This window comes from Homo sapiens, chromosome 13 (genome assembly GCF_000001405.40).
Source record: "Homo sapiens chromosome 13, GRCh38.p14 Primary Assembly".
Taxonomy (NCBI): domain Eukaryota; kingdom Metazoa; phylum Chordata; class Mammalia; order Primates; family Hominidae; genus Homo; species Homo sapiens.
The window spans coordinates 100639645-100661270 of record NC_000013.11 but is presented as its reverse complement, the minus strand read 5'-3'; the positions used below and the strand labels follow the sequence as shown (position 1 = coordinate 100661270).

General features: G+C 44.2%; 1 protein-coding gene across 12 annotated transcripts in view, besides 1 other annotated feature; it reads left to right on the top strand.

Annotated features, from left to right (window-relative positions):
• Positions 1–21626, top strand: part of TMTC4 (transmembrane O-mannosyltransferase targeting cadherins 4) — a 71451-nt gene that overhangs the window by 13805 nt on the left and 36020 nt on the right. For all 12 annotated transcript variants that reach the window (NR_146794.2, XM_047430706.1, XM_011521122.4 and 9 more), the window contains 2 exons: positions 4803–4890; positions 18960–19060. Coding sequence is in view for 11 of the 12 variants with exons in the window: in XM_047430706.1 (XP_047286662.1) it covers positions 4803–4890; positions 18960–19060 (189 nt within the window). In the remaining variant the exon portion in view is untranslated. The remainder of the gene's footprint in view (positions 1–4802; positions 4891–18959; positions 19061–21626) is intronic.
• Positions 1741–2244: an enhancer, noted in NCBI's record as "H3K27ac-H3K4me1 hESC enhancer chr13:101311281-101311784 (GRCh37/hg19 assembly coordinates)". NCBI's record gives its function as "activates a minimal SCP1, AML or CMV promoter by ChIP-STARR-seq in primed H9 embryonic stem cells {active_cell/tissue: H9 hESC(primed)}" and the evidence as "EXISTENCE:reporter gene assay evidence [ECO:0000049][PMID:30033119]".

The window sequence follows — 21626 nt, the reverse complement described above, 5'->3', positions numbered from 1 at the left end:
GCACATTCCAGGTAAATGCAACCTGGGAACATGGTAATCTTGAAAGTCCACATTCCAGATGGTTAAAAGGAAACTGAGGCAGACTAGCTCTAGGAGAAAAGGGAGCATTTGAAAAACCTCTTTCTCTCTTCCCCTCCCCACCATGACATCCATTCAAACTCAGATTTGAAGAAATACTTGTGGATAATTAAGAGTTAGCATTGTAAGACAGATATTTTGTACATTTACCTTTCAGCGTTTCTGCAGATAGTATTCAGTTTCCTTCTGTCTGCATTCCCCTGTTATCTCCTACCCTGCAGTTAAAAATTCCAGCTTTAGGCCAGGCGCAGTGGCTCACACCCGTAATCACAGCACTTCGGGAGGCCGAAGCAGGTGGATCACTTGAGGTCAGGAGTTCCAAACCAGCCTGGCCAACATGGCGAAAAACCGTCTCTACTAAAAATACAAAAATGAGCCGGGCATGGTGGTATGCCCCTGTAGTCCCAGCTACTCAGGAGGGTGAGGCAGGAGAATCACTCGAACCCAGGAGGCAGAGGCTGCAGTGAACCAAGACCATGCCACTGCACTCCAGCCTGGGTGACAGAGCAAGACTCTGTCAAAAAAAAAAAAAAAATCCAGCTTTAAAAACATACAAAGAGTGGAACACCCAAGGAAATGGGTGGCAGGCGAGCTCCTCCCAGGTGTTGACCAACACCGAGGAGCCAGCCCCACTTTCTGGCTGGCTGGGCCAGCGGCCTGAATGCTGGCCTTGGGCACAGCAGCCCCAGCCACATAGATCCCTGTGAGATGAGGACAATGGGGATTTGGTTAGTAAACTGCCTCAGTTTACCCCATTTGTCTCAGTGTACATTTATTAGGAGACAGTAATAGCAGTATAGGCTCCTGCAGTTTTAGTGACATGAATTTCTTTTTTTTTCTTTTCTTTTTTTTTTTTTTTTTTGATACACAGTCTCACTCTGTCACCTGGGCTGGAGTGCGGTGGCACAATCTTGGCTCACTGCAACCCCCACCTCCCAGGTTCAAGTGATTCTCCTACCTCTGCCTCCCAAGTAGCTAGGACTACAGGCGTGCACCACCACATCCGGTTAATTTTTGTATTTTTAGTAGAGATGGGGTTTCACCATGATGGACAGGCTGGTGTCGAACTCTTGGCCCCAAGTGATCCACCTGCCTCAGCCTCCCAAAGTGCTGGGATTACAGGTGTGAGCCACTGCACCTGGCCTAACATGAATTTCTTTATATTAACATTTATATTAATATGTTTTAGGTCTTTACCACTCTCCAGCATTTCACACTGAAAATGATTTTTCCCACTGCAAATAAGCACCTGAATTTTCCAGTCTTCTAGGGTGATCAGCCATCTAGTGTGCCTGAGATTGAGAGGGTTCTGGGACTGGGGATTTTCCATTTTAAAGCAACGACAGCCGGGCAAATGGGGATGACTTGGGCACCTCACAGTCTTGCCCCCTCCTGGCCTCTGCTTGGTAATGCTGTAATTGCAGTCGGTGTTTTGTGCTCCTCAACTCATGGAATGTCTCTGTTTTTCTAATGAACCACCGCACATTGCTTCAAGTGGTTTGTAGACACCCAAACCCTCTGACAGGCCAGTCCCTACTGCAAGGAGGAGAGCCTGGGAGGGCCACACAGCCCCTGGTCTGCTGGTGGCTCTTCAGCTCTGTGTGGCCATTAGCAGGAGGACCCCAGCGCTTCCCTGAGGACAGAAGTGGCTTGTGTGGGCTTTCCTTTTTGTTTTCCTCAAAGTGTTGGGGAAGATTTCACTTTGTCTGAATTCCAACATCAAGGAGAGAAGCTCAGGCCCCCTTAAGAGTTCTGCCTGTAGCCAGGTGTGGTGGCGCATGCCTGGAGTCCCAGCTACTTGGGAAGCTGAGGCAGGAGGACTGCCCAAGCCCAGGAGTTTGAGGCTGCAGTGAGCTATGATCACGCCAGTGCACTCCAGCCTGGAAAACAGAGTGAGACCCTGTCTCTAGAAGTAAAAAATTAAACAAAATGTTTAAAAAGAGTTCTGTCTGTCTAATGAACCCAGACGTTAACCCAGAAGGAATCGGGAGGGGAAACCTTCCCCATCCCCCTAATTCCTTTTCATGGCCCCCATGCAAATTGTACCTACTGGGGAAACAATGGTGCCGCCTGCTTTAAGGATTCAGAGGGATTGCAGTGATTTCTCCAGAAAACTCTGAGTGTTTCACAGTATTTGTGAGAAAAAAAATAGCCTTTGTAGAAAAGTTTGCCTAAAAATACATATTATGCAAATATCAGAAAAGGAAAAGAAAATGTTTTCTTGCTTATGTACATTCTCAAACAGTGATTGGATACAGTCCCTCTCCTTGGGTAGTTTTTTAACATTCTTTTAGTGAAATCTCTCTTAATTACTATGCCAAAAAAATTCATTGTAAATACTAAATGCTCTTTTGCTTTAAAACACTTCCCATACTTTAAAAATTTTGTTTTTCTTTATGTCAAGGAACATAATGTACATTGCTCAAAGTCGTGGGATGGTCTTCAGCAATTAGCAGAAAGAAACATTTCTGTAAAAATAAGCTTTTGATGTTTAAATTTCATTTTTGGTGATTCTTCAAATCTACACTAGCCACCCAGATAGCAAGTGGTTTAGGCAGCCTGGCCCTCCTGGCCTCTAGGCCTAGTATTTTTCCAAACCACTTCCTTCCCCCTCATTCACCTCACTTCCCCTTGGTCTCTGACACCTGCTCCCCCTGTTTCCTGTGACCCTGTTCTCTGTGGTCCCCTTCGGACAGGCTTGTCTGGATTGGCTTTTATTGCTTTCTCTTCTCTAAAGGGTTGGGATTCCAGTCCATCCTGAGGTGCTGTAGATAGTCACAGCTCTGAGATGCTCCTGTCTCCTCTCATGTCCTCCTGGCGTGAGGACCACAAAGCCAGGATGCACCAGCTGCCTCCTCACTCACCCGGGGCTGCAGAGATGATACCTGAGCTTCTGCGTCCTCTGTCCTTTGCCTTTCTGCTACTCCTGTTCATAGACATACCCCATAGGACCCACCAGGGAACTCATAGTCAGCTGCACCCACCCTGTACCAGGCTCTGTTCTGTGTGGCTGCATCTCTGACTATTTTACTGTGTCCCTGATGGAGTGAGTTTCCAGCCCTGAGTATTCCAGAGCGCTCATTGCATATTCATTTCATTCATAAAGCAATTGGATTGTTCCCCTCCAGCATACTGGCATACTTGTTCCAGATCTGTTAAGCCTTTGTTTTGTCCCTGGCTTCCTTCTCGGTAGTGTTTGTGTGTGTGTGGTGTTCACTGGGTGGATTTATCAGCTTATTCAATTTTCCCAGCCATCACCTGACACCACGGGCTGCCACGTACCAACCATCAGGAGGTCACAGTTACAGTGACGAATGGTCCTCGGCATTTCGTGTATAACCGATGTAGGGGAATCTGCTCCTAAAAGACATCCTGTTTCAGCTATTGACTGCACATGAACTTGAGAATCATATGTAAATATAGTAATTTCGTAGTCAGTGTATATTTTCTTATCTTGATTTATAGAAGAGTCCTTTATTCTGCAGCTCATATATCACATCCCCATCCTTTGGGAAGGGATTAACCTACCAGCCTTTAAAGCGATACCTGGACAATCACAGCAGAAGCTTTGGTTCATGTCACATTCAGGTGCCAGTTAGTAACGAATCCCACCTAAACTAGTCCAGTACCCCTGGGGGGAATTCTGTGTCTTTCATCACGTACAACATTGGGAGAACAATTACTGGAATAATCAGCCTGAAGAAAGAAACACATAGTTGATATTGCTTCATTCTTACTGAGGAAAGGAAGGGCAGAGTCACCATGTGGAAAATGTGGGAAAGAAATGGCAGAAATTGTATTCTGTTCTCATCCTAGTTGTTAATCACTCTTGAAGCATTCAGCTTTCCAGGTTAACCCACTTAATCAGTTTGGTCTGAAGGGAAGAAAAAAGAGCAGAGGCAGCTTTGAAGGATTACTCCTGTGTCTTTTTCTATCGGCAGGACGGCTTTTCACACTTCTCTCACACCTTTATGTCCTTCATGTTTCCAATCACATTTTATTTTTTAAATATCATGACCTTTGAGCTGATAACATTTTCCAATTGAAAATCCACTTTGTGACCTCAGAAGACTAAGTCTTTGGAGCTCTTGGGTATCGTGTGTTAAAGAACACAGTTTTTATGGCACGTGCATATCGCCGTCTGTGTCCAGCAGAATAGCTAGCAGCAGGTTCAAACCAATCCAGTGTTCTCTTGAAGCAGTTAAGTCAAGTCCTACACCCAAAAGGGAGGAGAGAACTGATTGTAAGATAACACCAAGCACTATTGCACAGCTACATCATGTATTTATTTTAATAGGTGGCAGAGTCTAGGAAGTTTCTTGTTTTATATGTCTAAAGAATTTGGTTTTGGCTAGGCACGGTGGCTCACACCTGTAATCCCACCACTTTGAGAAGCAGAGGTGGGTGGATCACTTGAGCCCAGGAGTTCAAGACCAGCCTGGGCAACATGGTGAAACCCCGTCTCTACAAAAAATACAAACATTAACCAGCTGTGGTGGTGTGCGCCTCTGCTCCCAGCTATTCAGGAGGCTGAGATGGGAGAATTGCTTGAGCCCAGGGGGGTTGAGGCTACAGTGAGCCAAGATCACACTGCTGCACTCCAGCCTGGGTGGCAGAGTGAGACCCTGTCGCAAAAAAAAAAAAAAAAAAGTTATGTCTCCTAAGTTTAGGATTTCCTTAAATGTGTTTTATGTAATTCTTTGTTTTCTTCCCCCTTTTTTAAGGTTGCTGGTGTTGTCGGCCGTGCAGACCTCCTGTGTGCCCTGTTCTTCTTGTTATCTTTCCTTGGCTACTGTAAAGCATTTAGAGAAAGTAAGCATTCTGTTTGCCTTCTTAATTTTCCACCTTCTTCATGTTTTTGTCCTGTTGAGCAGTGTCTTAACATACGGGAAAGAATCCATCTATGTGAGTGTGTCACTCTGAGGGGATCTGGGCCAGAGGATGCATAAACTCTCTTTAGATATGTATGTCTATTTGTGCCATTGCTTTTTCCGTAATGCAAAGCTCTGACACTGGTGTTCACACTGTGGCCTATCCTATTAGGTATTGAGACCAAGAACAGAAGCAGCAGCAGGATTGAGTTTTGCCATTTTATTTCCTGCAAAATTATAGGATTGCGAATGATTCCAGGACAGGCTGTCCTGTTTTGATGTTCTAGGTATTTATTGCCCAGCTATCCTTTCATAGCTTCCAAAGGTGGCTTGGAAAGAGCCAGGGAGATTTTTCATACACTGTCCCTCCTTCATCCCATCCTGTCCAGACTGAACCCAGGCTCAGGCCCTGTCTTGGAGCACCTGCAACTGCCCTAAGGCACAGCAGAAAGGTGACCCAGTGGCCCTAGCCTGTGCCAGTGCCCACTCAGGGCATGGTTACACCCAACCACTCCCACCCCCTTTTATTATTATTACCTTATCAAGCCTGGATAAAACCACCACTTCTTCCCATCGCTCATCGGTTTTCTGATACATTAGAGAGTTTGGGGACAGCTGAGCAGAACACCTTCAAGTATTGAGAACAGTGGTGGTAACTTTTCTTCCTGTAACTTAGCAATAATGCACTGCAGTCTCTTCCTGGGGTAAGGGTCTCCCCACCTATGATGATTACAAATCTCCCAAGAGACACAGCCGCCAGAGACCTGGCGAGGTTGAATTGGCCGGCCCCATAATGAATCGTGTGACTCTTCATGAGACAGTGAATCAGTAACAGGACTGGGAGGGAGGGGTCCCTTCACTACCTCACTGTTAACGTTCACTACAGATAATGGTTCTTCCTTTTCAAAAGTTGGCAATTAAATCTGAATTTACAGATACAGATAACAGTTTATCAGAAATCATATTTTTCCTGAAGAAAATTTAAAATTAGGAGTTGTGGGCCTGGTGCGGTGGCTTACGCCTGTAATCCCAGCACTTTGGGAGGCTGAGGTGAGCAGATCACTTGAGGTCAGGAGTTCGAGACCAGCATAGCCAACATAGTGAAACCCTCATCTCTACTAAAAGTACAAAAATTAGCCAGGTGTGGTGGCGTGTGCCTGTAGTCCCAGCTACTCGGGAGGCTGAGGCAGGAGAATCGTTTGAACCCGGGAGGCGGAGGCTGCAGTGAGCCGAGATTGCGCCACTGCACTCCAGCCTGGGTGACAGAGTGACACTCCGTCTCACAAAAAAAAAAAAAAAAAAAAATAGGCGTTGTGGCTTTTCTCAAAGACAACTCTAAAGTTTCTGAAAGTGCCATTTTATTGATGTTAACATAATTTTAACTTATCCTCCCTTAAAGTCACTACTCCTTGTTCTGAATGGATTTCAAAGACATCAGAGTGATTTTTGAGGAAAGTACTAAACCTTGATAGATTTAACATGTGGGGGACATCATTTAGGAGATATGATAGAACCTGTCACTACTTCTAAAGATTGCTCTTGTGAAATAATGAAAAAGCTATTATGATACTAAACACTCTTCCATCGAGTGAACAGATACATGTATTGGCCTCCTTTAATGGTGTATTCTCACAGAAAAGTGAAAAGGCTAGACATTTTATATTCTTTTTCTGGAACCTTTTACTCTTCTTTTTTCTGTTTTAATTCACAAATTTGTATATTAATATATATTACATATATATTTTTGATGCATTTGTAAATTATAAAATTATTTCCAAATATCCATACAAAAGATACTTTTTAAATAAAGCTTTTGGCAAGAAACCAACACCAAAGTTAAAGGTACTTAAATGTGTGATGGCTGTTCCATTATTAACACTTTGACTCATGAGAAATAGGCAAAGTATATTTCAATACTGACATAAATATATTAACTGTAAGTACCAACATGACCTTTCTTTTTTGTCCGGTAACATTCTTTTAGCATTTGTAATGTTTATTTTAAAATTGGAAAGAAATTATGAGGCCTTTAATGTTAAATTTGTAGATGTTTTTGAGAATGTTAACCTGGGCATTTTTGCATTTGCAAACCGATAGCAGTGGTAGATGTGGCTTCCATAGAAAGCTTTTTAAGATGACTAGATTTTGACTTGGTTGAAGTTACTTGGGGCAGTTAAAAGACAGATAGGTGGACTGGGAAGCCTTTGAAGAATGCTTTCTGTTGACCTCTTGTCTACAAGCTGCCCCGTCTTCGTGGGATCTGTTCTCTTGTTAACATGAACCCTCTTGAGGAAAAGGAAAGCGTTCATTTAAATGGAGCCGATGGAGTCACCACCAGAGTGGTCTCTGGGCCTTTGCAGGCACCAACAGCCTCTTTGGTCTTTGGAAAATACAAAACTACAGTAGTTTGCATCTTCTGCTCATCCAGGCTTTGGTGTCTTGACCCTGAAACTGATTGTTGGGCGTGCATTTTGTGTCCTTCCTGTCCCCTCATGGTGTCCACCTGCCCTGGCAGGCTTTGAGTTATGGATCATCACAGTTTTTCTCGGCAGTGTAAAGCGGAGGGTTTAAAACACCCATCCTCGAGCTGCAGTTCCCATCATTTGGAATTGGCTTTCACTGCTATTTTCCATTCCCACTCATCGCTTCCAGATTTCCGACAGAATGATTGAATTCTGCCTCAATTCCATCACAGGCCTGGAGGCGCAGAGCCACGTGGATTCTTGAGAGAGGGCCTTAGACACACTGTGACCAGCTTACTTGGGGGAGTCCCCTGTGTCCCACATGTGAACAGGTCTCTGACCCCTCCCCAACAAGGTGCTGTACCCTGAGACCCACCCTCTGTCACTTCAGGACCTCAGGACTGGATGCCTATCCCCGTCCACCTCGTTCCCTGGCCCGGCGACATCAGAACAGCCCCTCACGCTGCCAGCCCATCTCTCCCCTCCTCCTCACAACTCCCAAAATTCCCTTTGTCTGAGCAACCCCAGAACCGGGGCTAGTGAAGTCTGCTGGAGCCTCTCCTAGTCTCTTAGCAGAGGCACTGTTCTTAGCGACTTTTCTGTTTCTGATTTTCCATACTCCTTTTTAAACATGCGAAGAATAGAATGTGCTTCTTTGTTGATAGATTACAACTCTTTGGAATAATCCTTGAACATCATCATGTTAATGATCAGTTCAGTTCGTAGGGTACTTAAGAGTCTTTTTTAGGAGGAGAAAACTTGCTGCAAATTAATAATACCTTTACAGAGAAGAAGCAGTAAGAGCCCCATATGCAAAAATAATTCCGGTTAAGGTGTTCATGAAAAGCCATGGGTTTCTGATTCTGTTCTAAAATAGTATAAAGGCTTATTGATTTTAGTCATTCATTCCATCACCAATAGTTAATCAAACTTTAAGGGCGTTTCTTGTACCAGGTCAGGTTTCCGGTGCTGGGGATACAAAGACTAGAACAACAAAGTTCATGCCCCTGAGGGGCTTACCGTAACTCCAGTATATTTTGATTAAAATAAAGCTTCCATGATTCAGAATGCCTACAGAGCAGAATATTCTGGTTCTCCTTCCTTTCCTGTTGACTTTTTCCTTCCTGTACCCCTCATAGCAGGCACTCAGTAAGGATCCTTTCTTTTCATGCTGTGTTTATGCAGAGTGGGAGGCCATGGCCTTTGTTCTACTTACTTCCTTCATCTTCTATTAAATTTCCTTCAGTACAACAAAACAGAGCTCTTGATCCTAATGAAAATTCAGGTGTATATATATATATTTTCATTTGGATCAAGAGCTTTGTTCATTTGGTGTTTGAGATATCTTAAACAGTCGCATGTTTATTTATTTATTTATTTCGAGACCAAGTCTTGCTCTGTTGCCCAGGCTGGAGTGCAGTGGTACAATCTCAGCTCACTGCAACCTCTGCCTCCCAGGTTCAAGTGATTCTCCTGCCTCAGCCTCCCAAGTAGCTGGGACTACAGTCACCCACCACCACGCCCAGCTAGTTTTTGTGTTTTTAGTAGAGACGGGGTTTCGCCACATTGGCCAGGCTGGTCTTGAACTCCTGACCTCAAGTGATCTGCCCACCTCGGCCTCCCAAAGTGCTGGGATTACAGGCTGAGCCACCGTGCCCAGCACTGGTTTTTTTGTTTGTTTGTTGTTGTTGTTTGAGACGGAGTTTTGCTCTTGTCACCCAGGCTGGAATGCAGTGGCACGATCTTGGCTCACTGCAACCTCCACCTCCCAGGTTCAAGTGATTCTCCTGTCTCAGCCTCCAGCCATGTTTTTATTTTACCCTATGTAGTCAGTACAAATTGTACAAAAAGCTGAGTGGTAAACACATGTATTTATTGTCACTGCAGTGATGATTTCTTGTTCCAAGTGCCCATGTCTATAAATGTTCAGCAGAGAATAAAAACTAACTCTTCGGTGGTAGACAAGTCATTTTTTATTGAGATACAAATAGTAATGCTATTTAATGTTTAAATTTCAGGTTTAACGTAACCCTGGTCTTTGTACTTTTGGGATCTGAACATAAATTCAAAGAAAGGCCTAATATCAGAGGAACAAGTTTAATATTATAAGGGAACAAAAAATTAAGTACTCTGAAATTAATGATTCAACTAGTTAATAAATTCTTTCAGAGAATACTTTTTTTGGTAACATCATTAACTTTTTTTATGGATGGGACGTCTTTATTATAAAGCTCTGGACGATTTTTAACTGCTTGAGTTTATTCTGTCCTAACCTCTGGAATCCTAGTATTTTCAGAAAATGAAAAATGTACTCACATAACATTTCTGGGGCTCTGCCTTTTTTTTTTTTTTTTTTTTTTTTTGGTGCATAAATAGAACATCTAGCAAGATCTTTGCAACAGAATTTTTTAAAAGTAGATGTCCTCATAAAGGAAGCATACATTTTCTTTAAAAAAACAAACAAACAAAAAACACTAGTGAGATGAAATCAATGGCACACTGGGTATTACTTCTGAATGCCCAAAACAAAAAGTGTTATTCTTACAATGAGGCATCTTGTATTTACATCTCTCTTAAAGCCTGGTATTTCAGATTGGAAACAGATCATCTCTGCACATTAAACTTGCTAGAATAGCCAAAACAATTTCGTTTCTAAACTGATACCTTAAAATACTTGTCTCATGGGAGTTAAGACCAAAAGAAGAAATTTATTCTCATTTATAGTGGGGAGAAGAGAGTCTTTTCCAGAGGGGGATGGATTTTCTATATACCTAGAACAACCATTTTAAGTTCTAAATTCTTACTCATAATATCAAAGGCAGGATCTCAAATCTCCATTGTTCTTAAGCTATATAGCTCCCCTTAAGCTGTGTAGTTCTATAGCTGTATAGTTCACCTTAAGCTGTATAGTTCAGGCACTAAAATGGGATAAATCTTGCTCTTGGGATATCATTGCCTCATATTTTCATTCTGATTAAAGACACCTGTTTTTCTTTGACTTAGAATCACACTGCTTATAAAATAGGGCAGTTGGCTAACTCATGTCCGATAGGACGCTTGGTTTTCAATTTGGGGCCATTGCTGACTGCATTCTGACGGTGGGAGTCATGCAGATTCTCTTTTCCCTGTTTCTTTGGTTGCTTCATTGCTTGATTTTCCCCCAAATGGACCCGTGTTTTAGACCAGCAAGCCTGACTTCTTTCATTCTGTGCATAGAAGCACGGCTTGGTCGTTCCAGCTTTTGGAACGCGAATCTGATGCTCATTGTGTTGCTCTGGCAGAGAGAGAGTCGCGGCCACCTGTCGGGGTGGCGTGGTTCCCACACACAACATGACGTGCCAGTTTTGAGCGGTGGAGATGCCAGGCATAGAGTGGTGAAGAGGGGTAACTTGTACAACGTGATGCTTTTTCTGAAAGGAGATCTTCCCACTGGAAAGGAGTGCCAAATCCGAGGCACGTGCTTCATTAAATGGATCACATCTGCTGGCACTTGTGGGTGTTAGCACTGACAAGTGTCTTTCTGTCATTGCATTTTTTTCCCTGTGCCCCCTTCACTCCATTAGCCTTTGCCTCCATTTACCTAAGTGAGTGAATTCTCTTAGATGCTAGAGACAATATACTGAAACGAGAAGAACATTGCCTAGGCATGTCTCTGGTCAATTCTGGATCGTAAACTATTGATGTTTGCTAATGCTGCATAATTATCCTAGAGCAAGTTGTCTTCTTAAAAGATGAGAGAGGCAGCATGGTGTCCAAATGGTTTTTGTTTTTTTTTTTCCCATCCTCTCCTGGGTCATTGGTATTTAAAATGTAACAGTCTTGATGGAGAGGAGATGGAGAATGCTGGGGAAGAGTGATGTCCTCAGATGCTTACATAGAGCCATGCACAAGTTAGAATTTTAAATCTGGGGAAGATTTTTCTGAATAAAAATATTTATAAGTGCAGCTGTGTTGGAGGTGACATCTGCCACTCAGAATTTATTTGTACTGTTTTTAACAGTTACTTCTAAATTTAAAATGAAAATATTGATCTTCTCCATAGTTTTTAAATATTAAGTAATTTTTATTTATTTATTTATTTATTTATTTATTTATTTTGAAGAAGAATATCTTAATGATGGCGATTCTTCCAGTGTGAAGGGGTTCAAAGATTAAATTAAAAGTGAAAAAGACCTGAATTCTGGCAGTATTTGTCCACACTGAGCAAATGATTAACTTTTGGGTATTAAATTACATCTCATAATTGCAAGAAAAATGTAATATAGTAAGACTCTGATAGACATAGAAATAAATGAAACTATTTATTGATTCAACAGATGTTTATCGAGTGCCCACTATATGCAAAGTGGCCTACTATTACCTGTCTCAATTGTCTTATTAAAATGCTCACACTTGGAAATAAAATAATGGTTTGCATTTGTTACTGTATAAGAACATAGCCACAAAAGCACAGAGTCTAAATTCCTCTAGATTATATGTTGATAATTATTAGCATTAGTCACCTTCACAAACTAAGGCTTAAAATAAATCTTAATTTGGGGAATTATGTGGGCAGAAGTTTGATGGAGCAGGTCATATTTCCAGAAGTCCACTAGTCTGGGCCATCTAAACACTCAGAGCTAGTTTTTCACTTGAATTTTTGTAAGGCCTTTTTTGTTCACCTCCAGAACTGGAAGCATTTTGTCAACGCTGTATGGGCTGGCCTTGGTTTATCATTCATGCACATATATACTGCATATATATAAAGAGGACTCCTTTCATTTATATGAAATGGTTTTAAAATATTAAATTAAGCTTTCCAGTTTAGATTCTGGGAAACTCAAAGTGTGTGTGCATGCTTAGTCTTATGACTGGATAAAATATTGAGTGGCAGCTGGGCACAGTGGCTCACACCTGTAATCCCAGCAGTTGGGGAGGTCAAGGCGGGAGGATCACTTGAGCACAAGAGTTTGAGACCAGCTTGGGCAATATAGTGAGACCCCCTTTCTCGACAAAAATAAAAATTTTTAAAAATTAGCCAGGCCTGGTGGCATGTGCCTGTGGTCCCAGCTATTCGGGAGGCTGAGGCCGGAGGATTGCTTGAGCCTGGGAGGTCAAGGCTCCAGTAAGTCATGATCATGCTACTGTACTCCAGCCTGGGCAAAAGAATGAGACCTTGTCTCAAAACAAAAATATACCAAAAATTGTTGAGTGACTAATCCGGTAGGGATTGGAGAAAGAGTTGGCTTTAAATAGGCAAACTCATTTCCTATTTTCTGAGTTTTCAAGGACAGAGCTGGATACAAACATAGCAATGTGCACATTATGTCATCTGTGAGCTGGGTCTTTGATCACATGGTCTAGACACTGCCATGCAATCGAAATACCACAGGAGCCATATGTGGCATTGAAAACTTTGAAGTAGCCGCGTTATAAAAAGAAACAGATGAGATGGATTTTAATAATATATTTTATTTGCCTTGATATATCAAAATTATAATTCCAACATATAATCAATATAAAAATATGAAAATGTTCACATTTTTTTTTTCATACTAAGCTTCCAAAATCGGTTTTGTATTCCACACTAACAACACATCCCACCTGGGACTAGATACATTTCAAGCACTCATTAGCTGTAATGATTACTTTCTTGGAGAGTGGTGGGTCTAGAATGTAGTGCTCACTAGGTTTATCTCTGACCATTGAGCCCTTGCCTTTGATCTGAAATTGCCACAGTTTTGAGAAGTAATACTTAATATTTAATAATTGCTGAGACTGAAGACACTTCTTCAGCAAAGAAACATTACCTTCATCTTTCATATCTTTTCATGCTGGGTGTGTTTGAAGCAAAATCGGAAGTCTAAGGAAAAAGAGTAGGACTCTTCTGTCAGAATTGCAATAGAGGATGGGAGAGGTGGAGTTTAGAGTTTGAGAGTGTGGTGAAATTATGAGGTGAAATTAGGGAGAAGGTTGTCAGTAAACCTGAAGGCTGTGTTTTCTAGTTGTTATTTTTCTGTTTTCAATTAAGTCTCTGGTTTAACCTTGTAAGGAGAAAGCCATTTTAAATTCCAGATAAGAGGACTATCTAGAATTCTTATCTAGAGGAATTCTAGAGGAGCCCATCACTTTCGTGTCTGTGTCATAATTTAGCTTTGTGTTAATAGAGTGCTTTCAAGAGCTGTCTTTTGGGCATTTTTAATGAAGGAACTAGGAATATTTTTCTTTTCAAAGTCCATGGGGGAAAATTAATCCATGTTACAGTCAAGTAAAAATACAAGATAATTCCGTTTTTCTAGGCAGAAATGTAAAATCAAGGAACTTGCTTTTGAAATTAAGAACAGAGACTGTTACATTGGGGAATGTATTATGTTTAGTTGAGAAGTACCAACACAAATTCTGAGAGTGAAAGAAGCCTACAAAAAACAAATTCAGGTAACAGTTTGGTGGGATGGGATGGGGTGGGGTGGAGGGTGTCCATTTGGTTTCTAGTGAGCTATGGAGCTGAGCGCCTGGTCAACTTGAAAACAATGGATGGAGCCCGGCCATGGCACCATCTCCTCGTGCTGGGTCTAGAGTGGCCGGCAGGGGCCAGGGGTCTCTTGCTCTGTTTATCTCTGGATGAGATCCCATGGTAATTAATCAGGTCGTTTATAATTAAAGGTTTTGTTTACAAATAAACTGCTAATAGGAGAAAATCCTAAAGGTAGTTTGACCCAGACTCAGGAACATGTGTCACGGGAAGAGAGGCTGTACCGAGACTGAGTGGACAAAGCCACCCATCTCTCATGACGTGGCGGAAGGCCCGGACTTCTCCGAGGCTCTGGCATGGACTTGTAAGCTGGACGCTGTGCTCTCTCGCTAAAGCTTGTGTCCCTTTCCCCAAACCATAGCCTAAAAGAATTCATCAATCTGTTAGTTTAGGGTTATTTCGGCCATAATTTTTTTTAGAGCTTTAGTGCCTGCCAATACTTATCTGCTGATGAGTGCTAGCAAATGCCCACATGAAACAATAAATACGTTAAGTGCTCAAATTGGAATTATGTGTAATTTAACAGGGTTTTGTTGTTGTTGTGGCTCCTTATTGTGATCTTTTGACATTAGATACATAGAAAGTAATTAATTTCTGCAAGTAAAATGATCCTTAGTTTGCTTGATGGATCTAAGCATACTGTTGTGTAATGGTATTCAGTAGAGGAAGCCTGACTTCCGGGCTCCATGCCTCCTGAACAACTTGGAGGATCGCTGCCCAAGGGCACAGCTAAGACCTGAAGTTTAGGGAGACAGGCTTGGGCTCAGCATTTAGAATAATCTAACAACCCAGAGTTTAATGAAACGGGCTGTGGTTTGAAAATTAATCCCCACCAGTGAAGTTACTCAAGTCGAGGCCAGGTGGCCCCCTGCTGGAAGCATCTTGGAAGGGATTCCAGCATTTCCATCCTTGCAGGAGAGATGATGCACAGCCTCTAAGAAGCAGTGTTGACACCTGCGGTTCCATGATTTGTCGGGAGCACAAAGCTTATTGCACCCCTTTTGATAGAGAGTAGATAGTCACTTCACTCACTGAACATATACTGCCCTTCCAGCGTCAGTCGGGCCTGCTGATTTAGTCAGAACAATTTTTAGTTGCTCCTATGAGCCAGGCATGGTGCCAGCCGTCCAGCCGTGAACAGGCTTACTCTCAAGAGGGTGCACCCTGCCTTTAGGGAGCATCAGAGCCACCTGGAAAGCTTGTTAAAGGCCGATTACTGGTTCCCATCCTCAATTTCTGATTCATCAGATCTCAGTGGGGCCTGAGTCTAATAAGATCCAGGTGCAGGTTCATGGACCACACACCCGTGAGTGGCACTGGTTTAGGGCAATGGTTCTCAAGTGGGAGTGATTTCCTACCCTCCCCACGCCCCTACTGACATCCGGCAATATCTGTGACATTTTTGATTGTCACCACTGAGGGGAGCGGTAGGGGGTGGTGCTACTGGCCTCTGATGAGTAGAAGCTGAGGGTACTGCTAAACATTCTGTGATTCACAGGGCAACCCCCCTCCAAAAAAAGTAAGTAGCCCACATGTGATGAGTGCCGAGGTGGACAGACCCTCGACTCGGGAATGACAGAAAATCAAGTGCTTGTGATAAACTCTGTGAGGAATATTGTGATAGACTGTGATCAGGGCAGTTTAGAGCACTACAGCTGGGCCTAACCTAATCTACGGGGGCAGTCAGTGAACAAGGCTCACCTCACAGCGGCAGTCAGGGACTTGGAGCGGTGCACGGGGCTCACCTGCTCACAGGGGCAGTCAGGGACATGGAGAGGTGCACGGGGCTCACCTGCTCACAGGGGCAGTCAGGGACATGGAGAGGTGAACCGGGCTTACCTGCTCACAGAGGGCTCACCTGCTCACAGGGGCAGTCAGGTGTGCATACAGCAGGGGTGTTTGCTCTCTTAACTGTGGAAGGAAACAAGTGAATTGCAGAGAGACCTGCCTGAGAGGGTGGGGTTTGGCTTTTCACAGCATAAGTGACATTTAACAGCTTTATTGATTGGGTAGGATTCTGCCAGGACTGTTCTGCCCCAAGGGAACTCAGTAAGCACACCCAGGTGAGAACCTGCAAGTGGGCAGTGGTGGTGGGCCTGGAGTGAGTGTATGCTGGGAGGGGCTGGAGAGGGTTCGCGGTGGCCACTTCAGCAAGGCCTTTAAAGCCACGGTCAGAAGAGGAACCATTATCCTGAAGGCAAAAGAGATAATTAGAAGGCATAAAACAAGAATGTTCAGGCCGGGTGCAGTGGCTCACGCCTGTAATCCCAGCACTTTGGGAGGCCGAGGCGGGTGGATCACAAGGTCAGGAGTTCAGGACCAGACTGGCCAACATGGTGAACCCCGTCTCTACTAAAAATACAAAAATTAGCTGGGCGTGGTAGCGTGCATCTGTAGTCCCAGCTACTCAGGAGGCTGAGGCAGGAGAGTTTCTTGAACCCGGGAGGCGGAGGTTGCAGTGAGCCGAGATCGCACCATTGCACTCTAGCCTGGGTGACAGAGCGATACTCCATCTCAAAAAAAAAAAGTATGTTCGTTGTGTTTTATGAGACAATGGGATCTCAGTTAATGAGGCTTTCCTGTCGATCAGCTGGCCTTGTGAAAAGCTTTAAAGTGCCTCAGCTATAATAGCCAAGTCAAGTCAACTTTTTGTATAATAGCTATTCCATTTGTTTGTATTTTAAATCTAGAAATTTGATACGCAGAGATTCTCCCCCCAAAAAGCTGAAAGGGCCAGACTTTCTGCTGCTGCTGGAGACTGTGTGGGAGTGAGGAGGCTGTCCTAGCAGCCCAGCTGTATAGCTGCAAGCTGCTAGTGTTGGGCACATCAGGAGTTAGTCCTGCTCATGGTTCATTGAGAGCCAGGGGCCCAGCTGGGGACAGGCCTTCTCATCTTGACAGGGTCTCAACCCCATTGTAGAGCATTTGAGGTGAAGAGCGCCTCCCGGCCGGGCGCAATAACTCACGCCTGTAATCCCAGCACTTTGGGAGGCCAAGGTAGGCGGATCATGAGGTCAGGAGATGGAGACCATCCTGGCTAACACGGTGAAACCCCGTCTCTACTAAAAATACAAAAAATTAGCTGGGCATGGTGGCGGGCGCCTGTAGTCCCAGCTACTCGGGAGCCTGAGGCAGGAGAATGGTGAACCCAGGAGGCGGAACTTGCAGTGACCCGAGATCGTGCCACTGCACTCCAGCCTGGGCGACAGAGTGAGACTCTGTCTCAAAAAGAAAAAAAAAAAAAAAAAAAGAGCGCCTCCCACCCCCAGGCCAGAACGCACTGGCTGTTTTCAGGACAGGAAGGCCTTCCATCCTGGGGTGTTGCTGATTCTATCTCAAGTATTCACAAGTATTTTTCTATCCCTCCTTGCAGGGTCTGCAGGACACACACAAACACTTGTTAATTTCCCCAGCAGGCAGTTTAATGAGAGTCACGGTGTATTTGTTACACTATCCAGTTGTCTGGCACATTTTGTGGCACAGTGGCTGATCAGCCACCCACTTGACTACTGCATCAAAGCCCCATTGGAAATTCCATCCCCCTCTAAGCTGACCAGGTTTGGCTGACCCAAGTACCACAAACATTAATTAAATGATTTCTGTAGTCCCAGCATTATACCAAGTGATTTTTAACATGCTTAGTTTTTAACATAGTCTTTTAATATACACACATGGTTAAAATAATGTAAAGAGTACTGAAGGTTATGTAATGAAAAGTAAGATTAAAAGTAAGACTTTCTCCCTCCTCTACCCCAATTCTTCATTTTAGAACTTCTCAGAAACTAGTCAATTTCTTATGTGTTGTCATAGAGATATATTTTGCATTTGCAAGCATTCTTTATGAGTTTTTCTCACAAATGGCCAGGTGTTCCTATGTAATTTTTTCCTTTCGAATATATCCTGAGGTCGGTAACGTTGCCCCCACGTTATAGGTGAGTTCCTTGAGACCGTGAAAGTCACTTGCTCAGTGTCACGCAGTGAGTGGCAGAGCTGGCATTCAGATGCTTACATAGAGCCATAGGCATTCAGACCGGGAGTTCCAGGTGTAAGTGGAATTGAACCGAGTAATGCCAGGCGAGCTAACAATTGGATTCTCCAAGAAGGTTCGCTTTTGTCCCACTTGATACCGATCTCTTTTTTATATGTTGGCTTATTCATTTAGATGAAGAGTGGGGACTTCACAACGGAGAGGAGTATCCATGCAGCTTCCCTCTCCTCCCTAGTAGTTTAGTTCTGGCCCCCAAATTGCACGCACCACCGACGAGATAGTGTACAGCCAGACCCTGCTCGCAGAAGGCCACTTAGGGACCAGTGGTGGTTACTGGAGCTGCCACCCACCTGAGCTTCTTACAGTGTTCACACGTCTGGGGATGTTTTGGCTTCTTGTTGGTGCTCGAGCCCCCATGCAGATTGGCAGCCCAGCCTGGTCCATGTCTTTACCTGCCCCAGGTGCTAGGTAGGTGCCAGCTCTGTCAGTAGCTGTGTATCCTTTGGTAGGGGTTGGAGCTGTTCCACACAGGGAGCAGAGCAGACCCATCCTAAGCCACCTGGTGTCCACAGGGCCCAAACTCCTATTCCAGGAGTAGTGGAGATTCTCAGAGGCATTCCCAGCAGCTCCATCATGGCAGCAGCAGTGACCATTGGGGTCATCTTGAAACCAGATGGACTGTTTGCAGTCTCAGTGAGAGTTCTCAAAAAGACTCGTCAGAATGGTCTAGCAGGTGACTGGTAGGTTGGGAAGAAGGTACCTGCTGCGTGGGGACTCTGGCATGAGACGTCTTTGTGGCCAGGGCTTCATGACAGTGCCTCCCAAAGGCCCTGGGCACGTTCTCAGGAGAGCCTTGAGTGGGGACATAGGTACCATTTAGAAGGTGTTGTCTAATGCACTCTTGCCCACAGAGAAGTGCTGTCTGAAGCCCAAACCCTGTTTTTAAGTTATGGTTGTTTAAGGTATTTGCTTAGAATTTTAGTTCCTGATGCTAAAAAACTGAGCTGCATTCCATGACTTTTGCACTGATCATTTCTCTTAATTGGCAGGTAACAAGGAGGGAGCGCATTCTTCCACCTTCTGGGTGCTGCTGAGTATCTTTCTGGGAGCAGTGGCCATGCTGTGCAAAGAGCAAGGGATCACTGTGCTGGTGAGAGCCGCAACATGGCTGGGGCCTGCTTTTTCTGTGTGTCCTTTTCCCTCCTATAAAGACATCTGGGGCTGGCCCTGCCTCTGTGGCGTTCTCCACGCCTACATCCCATTGCTGGCCTGAGGTGATAGACCTTTCTGGACAAATGGCTTTCGCTGTCACAATTCTGGCATTGCAGATGGAGAATTGACTGACTTTCTTGACAGTCATGTGCAACTGGGGAGAAATGGTGAATGAGGAGTTCTTAGGGAGCCATGATGAGTGCTCTTGAGAGGCCCTGTAGAAAAAGATAAAAGAATGGTTTGAGTTTTCTGGGATGCTTGTACATATTTCAGCAGTCCTAGATCACCTAGGACTGACCTCATCAATGGTTTTGATCCTGGATCTAGAAAGGCTGGTGGATAGTTTAGAAATGAAGGAACAGGGCCGGGCGCCATGGCTCACGCCTGTAATCCCAGCACTTTGGGAGGCCAAGGCGGGCAGATCACCTGAGGTCGGGAGTTCGAAACCAGCCTGACCAACATGGAGAAACCCCTTCTCTACTAAAAATACAAAATTAGCCAGGCGCGATGGTGCATGCCTATAATCCCAGCTACTCAGGAGGTTGAGGCAGGTGAATCGCTTGAACCCAGGAGGCGGAGGTGGCGGTAAGCCGAGATTGCACCATTGCACTCTAGCCTAGACAACAACAGCAAAACTACATCTCAAAAAAAGAAAAAAAAAAAGAAAGAAGGAAAAGATGAAGGAACAGGAGTTCTGCAGCCACTCAAAGCCTCACGTGCACACACATTCTGTCTCTCTTCTCGTCATTCCTCCACCCCCAGCGGTTACCTATGGTTATAGTTAATCACCACCCAAGTGCAACTTCAAGCAACGCTGGAACCAAAGTGTTCCATGGTCACAAATGTTTGACCTGAAATTACAAGATTAATAACTAGTCTAGTATTTAAAGGAGAATCTGTAATGGTGCTAATGTTTCTAGTGGGACTTTGTTCTCAGAGAACTCTTTTTATGCCAGATGTGCCAGGTAATCACGTGTTTTAACTTCGAGCCTTGAAGTCTCTCTGTGTGTAATATGTGTATACACTGTATTCTCTTGGGGTACATTGTTTTCCTGGAAAAAAACTGTACCTCGGCTTCCACCGGCAGTGTCAGGGGGGTGGGGGAGGGCTCTCTGAAGCGGAAAGACATCTACCTTTTCAGTCTGATCTGAGTAGATGCTAGGATTAAAGACCCAGGAAAGGAGAGGTGTTGAAATCCATTTTTCTTTTTCTCCATTCTAACCAGTTTCCTGCTTTCCATTGCTTTCCATTATTAGAAGAAAATATAGAAATTAAGGTTGTGAACAGAGGTAGAGAAATGGAAAGATATGGAATTTTTTTTCCCTTTTTTTTTTTTTTGAGACAGAGCCTCACTCTGTCACCCTGGCTGGAGGGAGGGCAGTGGCGTGATTACAGCTCCCTGCAGCCTCAACGATCCTCCCACCTCAGCCTCCCAAGTAGCTGGTATAGTGTAGGTGTGTGCCACCACCCCAGCTAATTTTCTAAAATTTTTTGTGGAGATGGGGTCTCCCTGTGTTGGCCAGGCTGGTCTCAAACTCCTAGCCTTGGGGTTACAGGCATGAGCCGTCACGCCTGGCCAAGTTGTGGGATTAGAATGATCATATAGAAATAGCTTGGAAAGGAAAGAACAATTAAAGCTGTCTGGGGCTTGATACAAGTCAAGGCAAAAATTAGTGTTTTATTAGGTTGTATCTATTAAGATTAAGCTAGCAAAGAGATGGTATAGGGAGAATTACCATAGAAAGATACTTGAATTTCATGAGTTAATTTTTTTTTAATTTGCTCTAAAACAGTGTTTTTCAACCTTGGCACTATTAATGTTTTACAGCAGACAGTTCTTTCTTGTGGGGGCTGTTCTGGGTTTGTGGGATGTTTAGTGGCGTCCCTGGTCTCCACCTACTAGATGCCAGTGGGACCTCTCAATTGTGACAACCTAAAATGTCTCCAGACAGTGCCAAACACCCCCCTGGAGGGCAAAATCGTCCCTGAGAACTGCTGGTTTTAGAACCTTTCCCTAATACGAAGTGTGGTTTGAGGACCAGGAGCATCAGCAATATCTGGGAGAGGGTTAGGAATTCAGGATCCCAGGCCCCACCCCCTCCCCAGGCCTGCTGAGTCGGAATTTCCATCTACAAGGTCCTCGGGAGGCTCCTCTGTGCAGTACTTTATTTTTTATTTTATTTTATTTTATTTTATTTTTATTTTTATTCGAGACGGTTTCTCTCTTGTCGCTCTGGCTGGAGTGCAGTGGTGCAATCTCAGCTTACTACGACCTCCACCTCCCAGGTTCAAGCAATTCTCCTGCCTCAGCCTCCCGAGTAGCTGGGATTACAGGCACATGCCACCACGTCCAGCTAATTTTTGTATTTTTAGTAGAGACAGGGTTTTACCATGTTGGCCAGGCTGGTCTCGAACTCCTGACCTCAGGTGATCCACCCACCTCAGCCTCCCAAAGTGCTGGGATTACAGGCGTGAGCCACCACGCCAGGCCTCCTCTGTGCCGT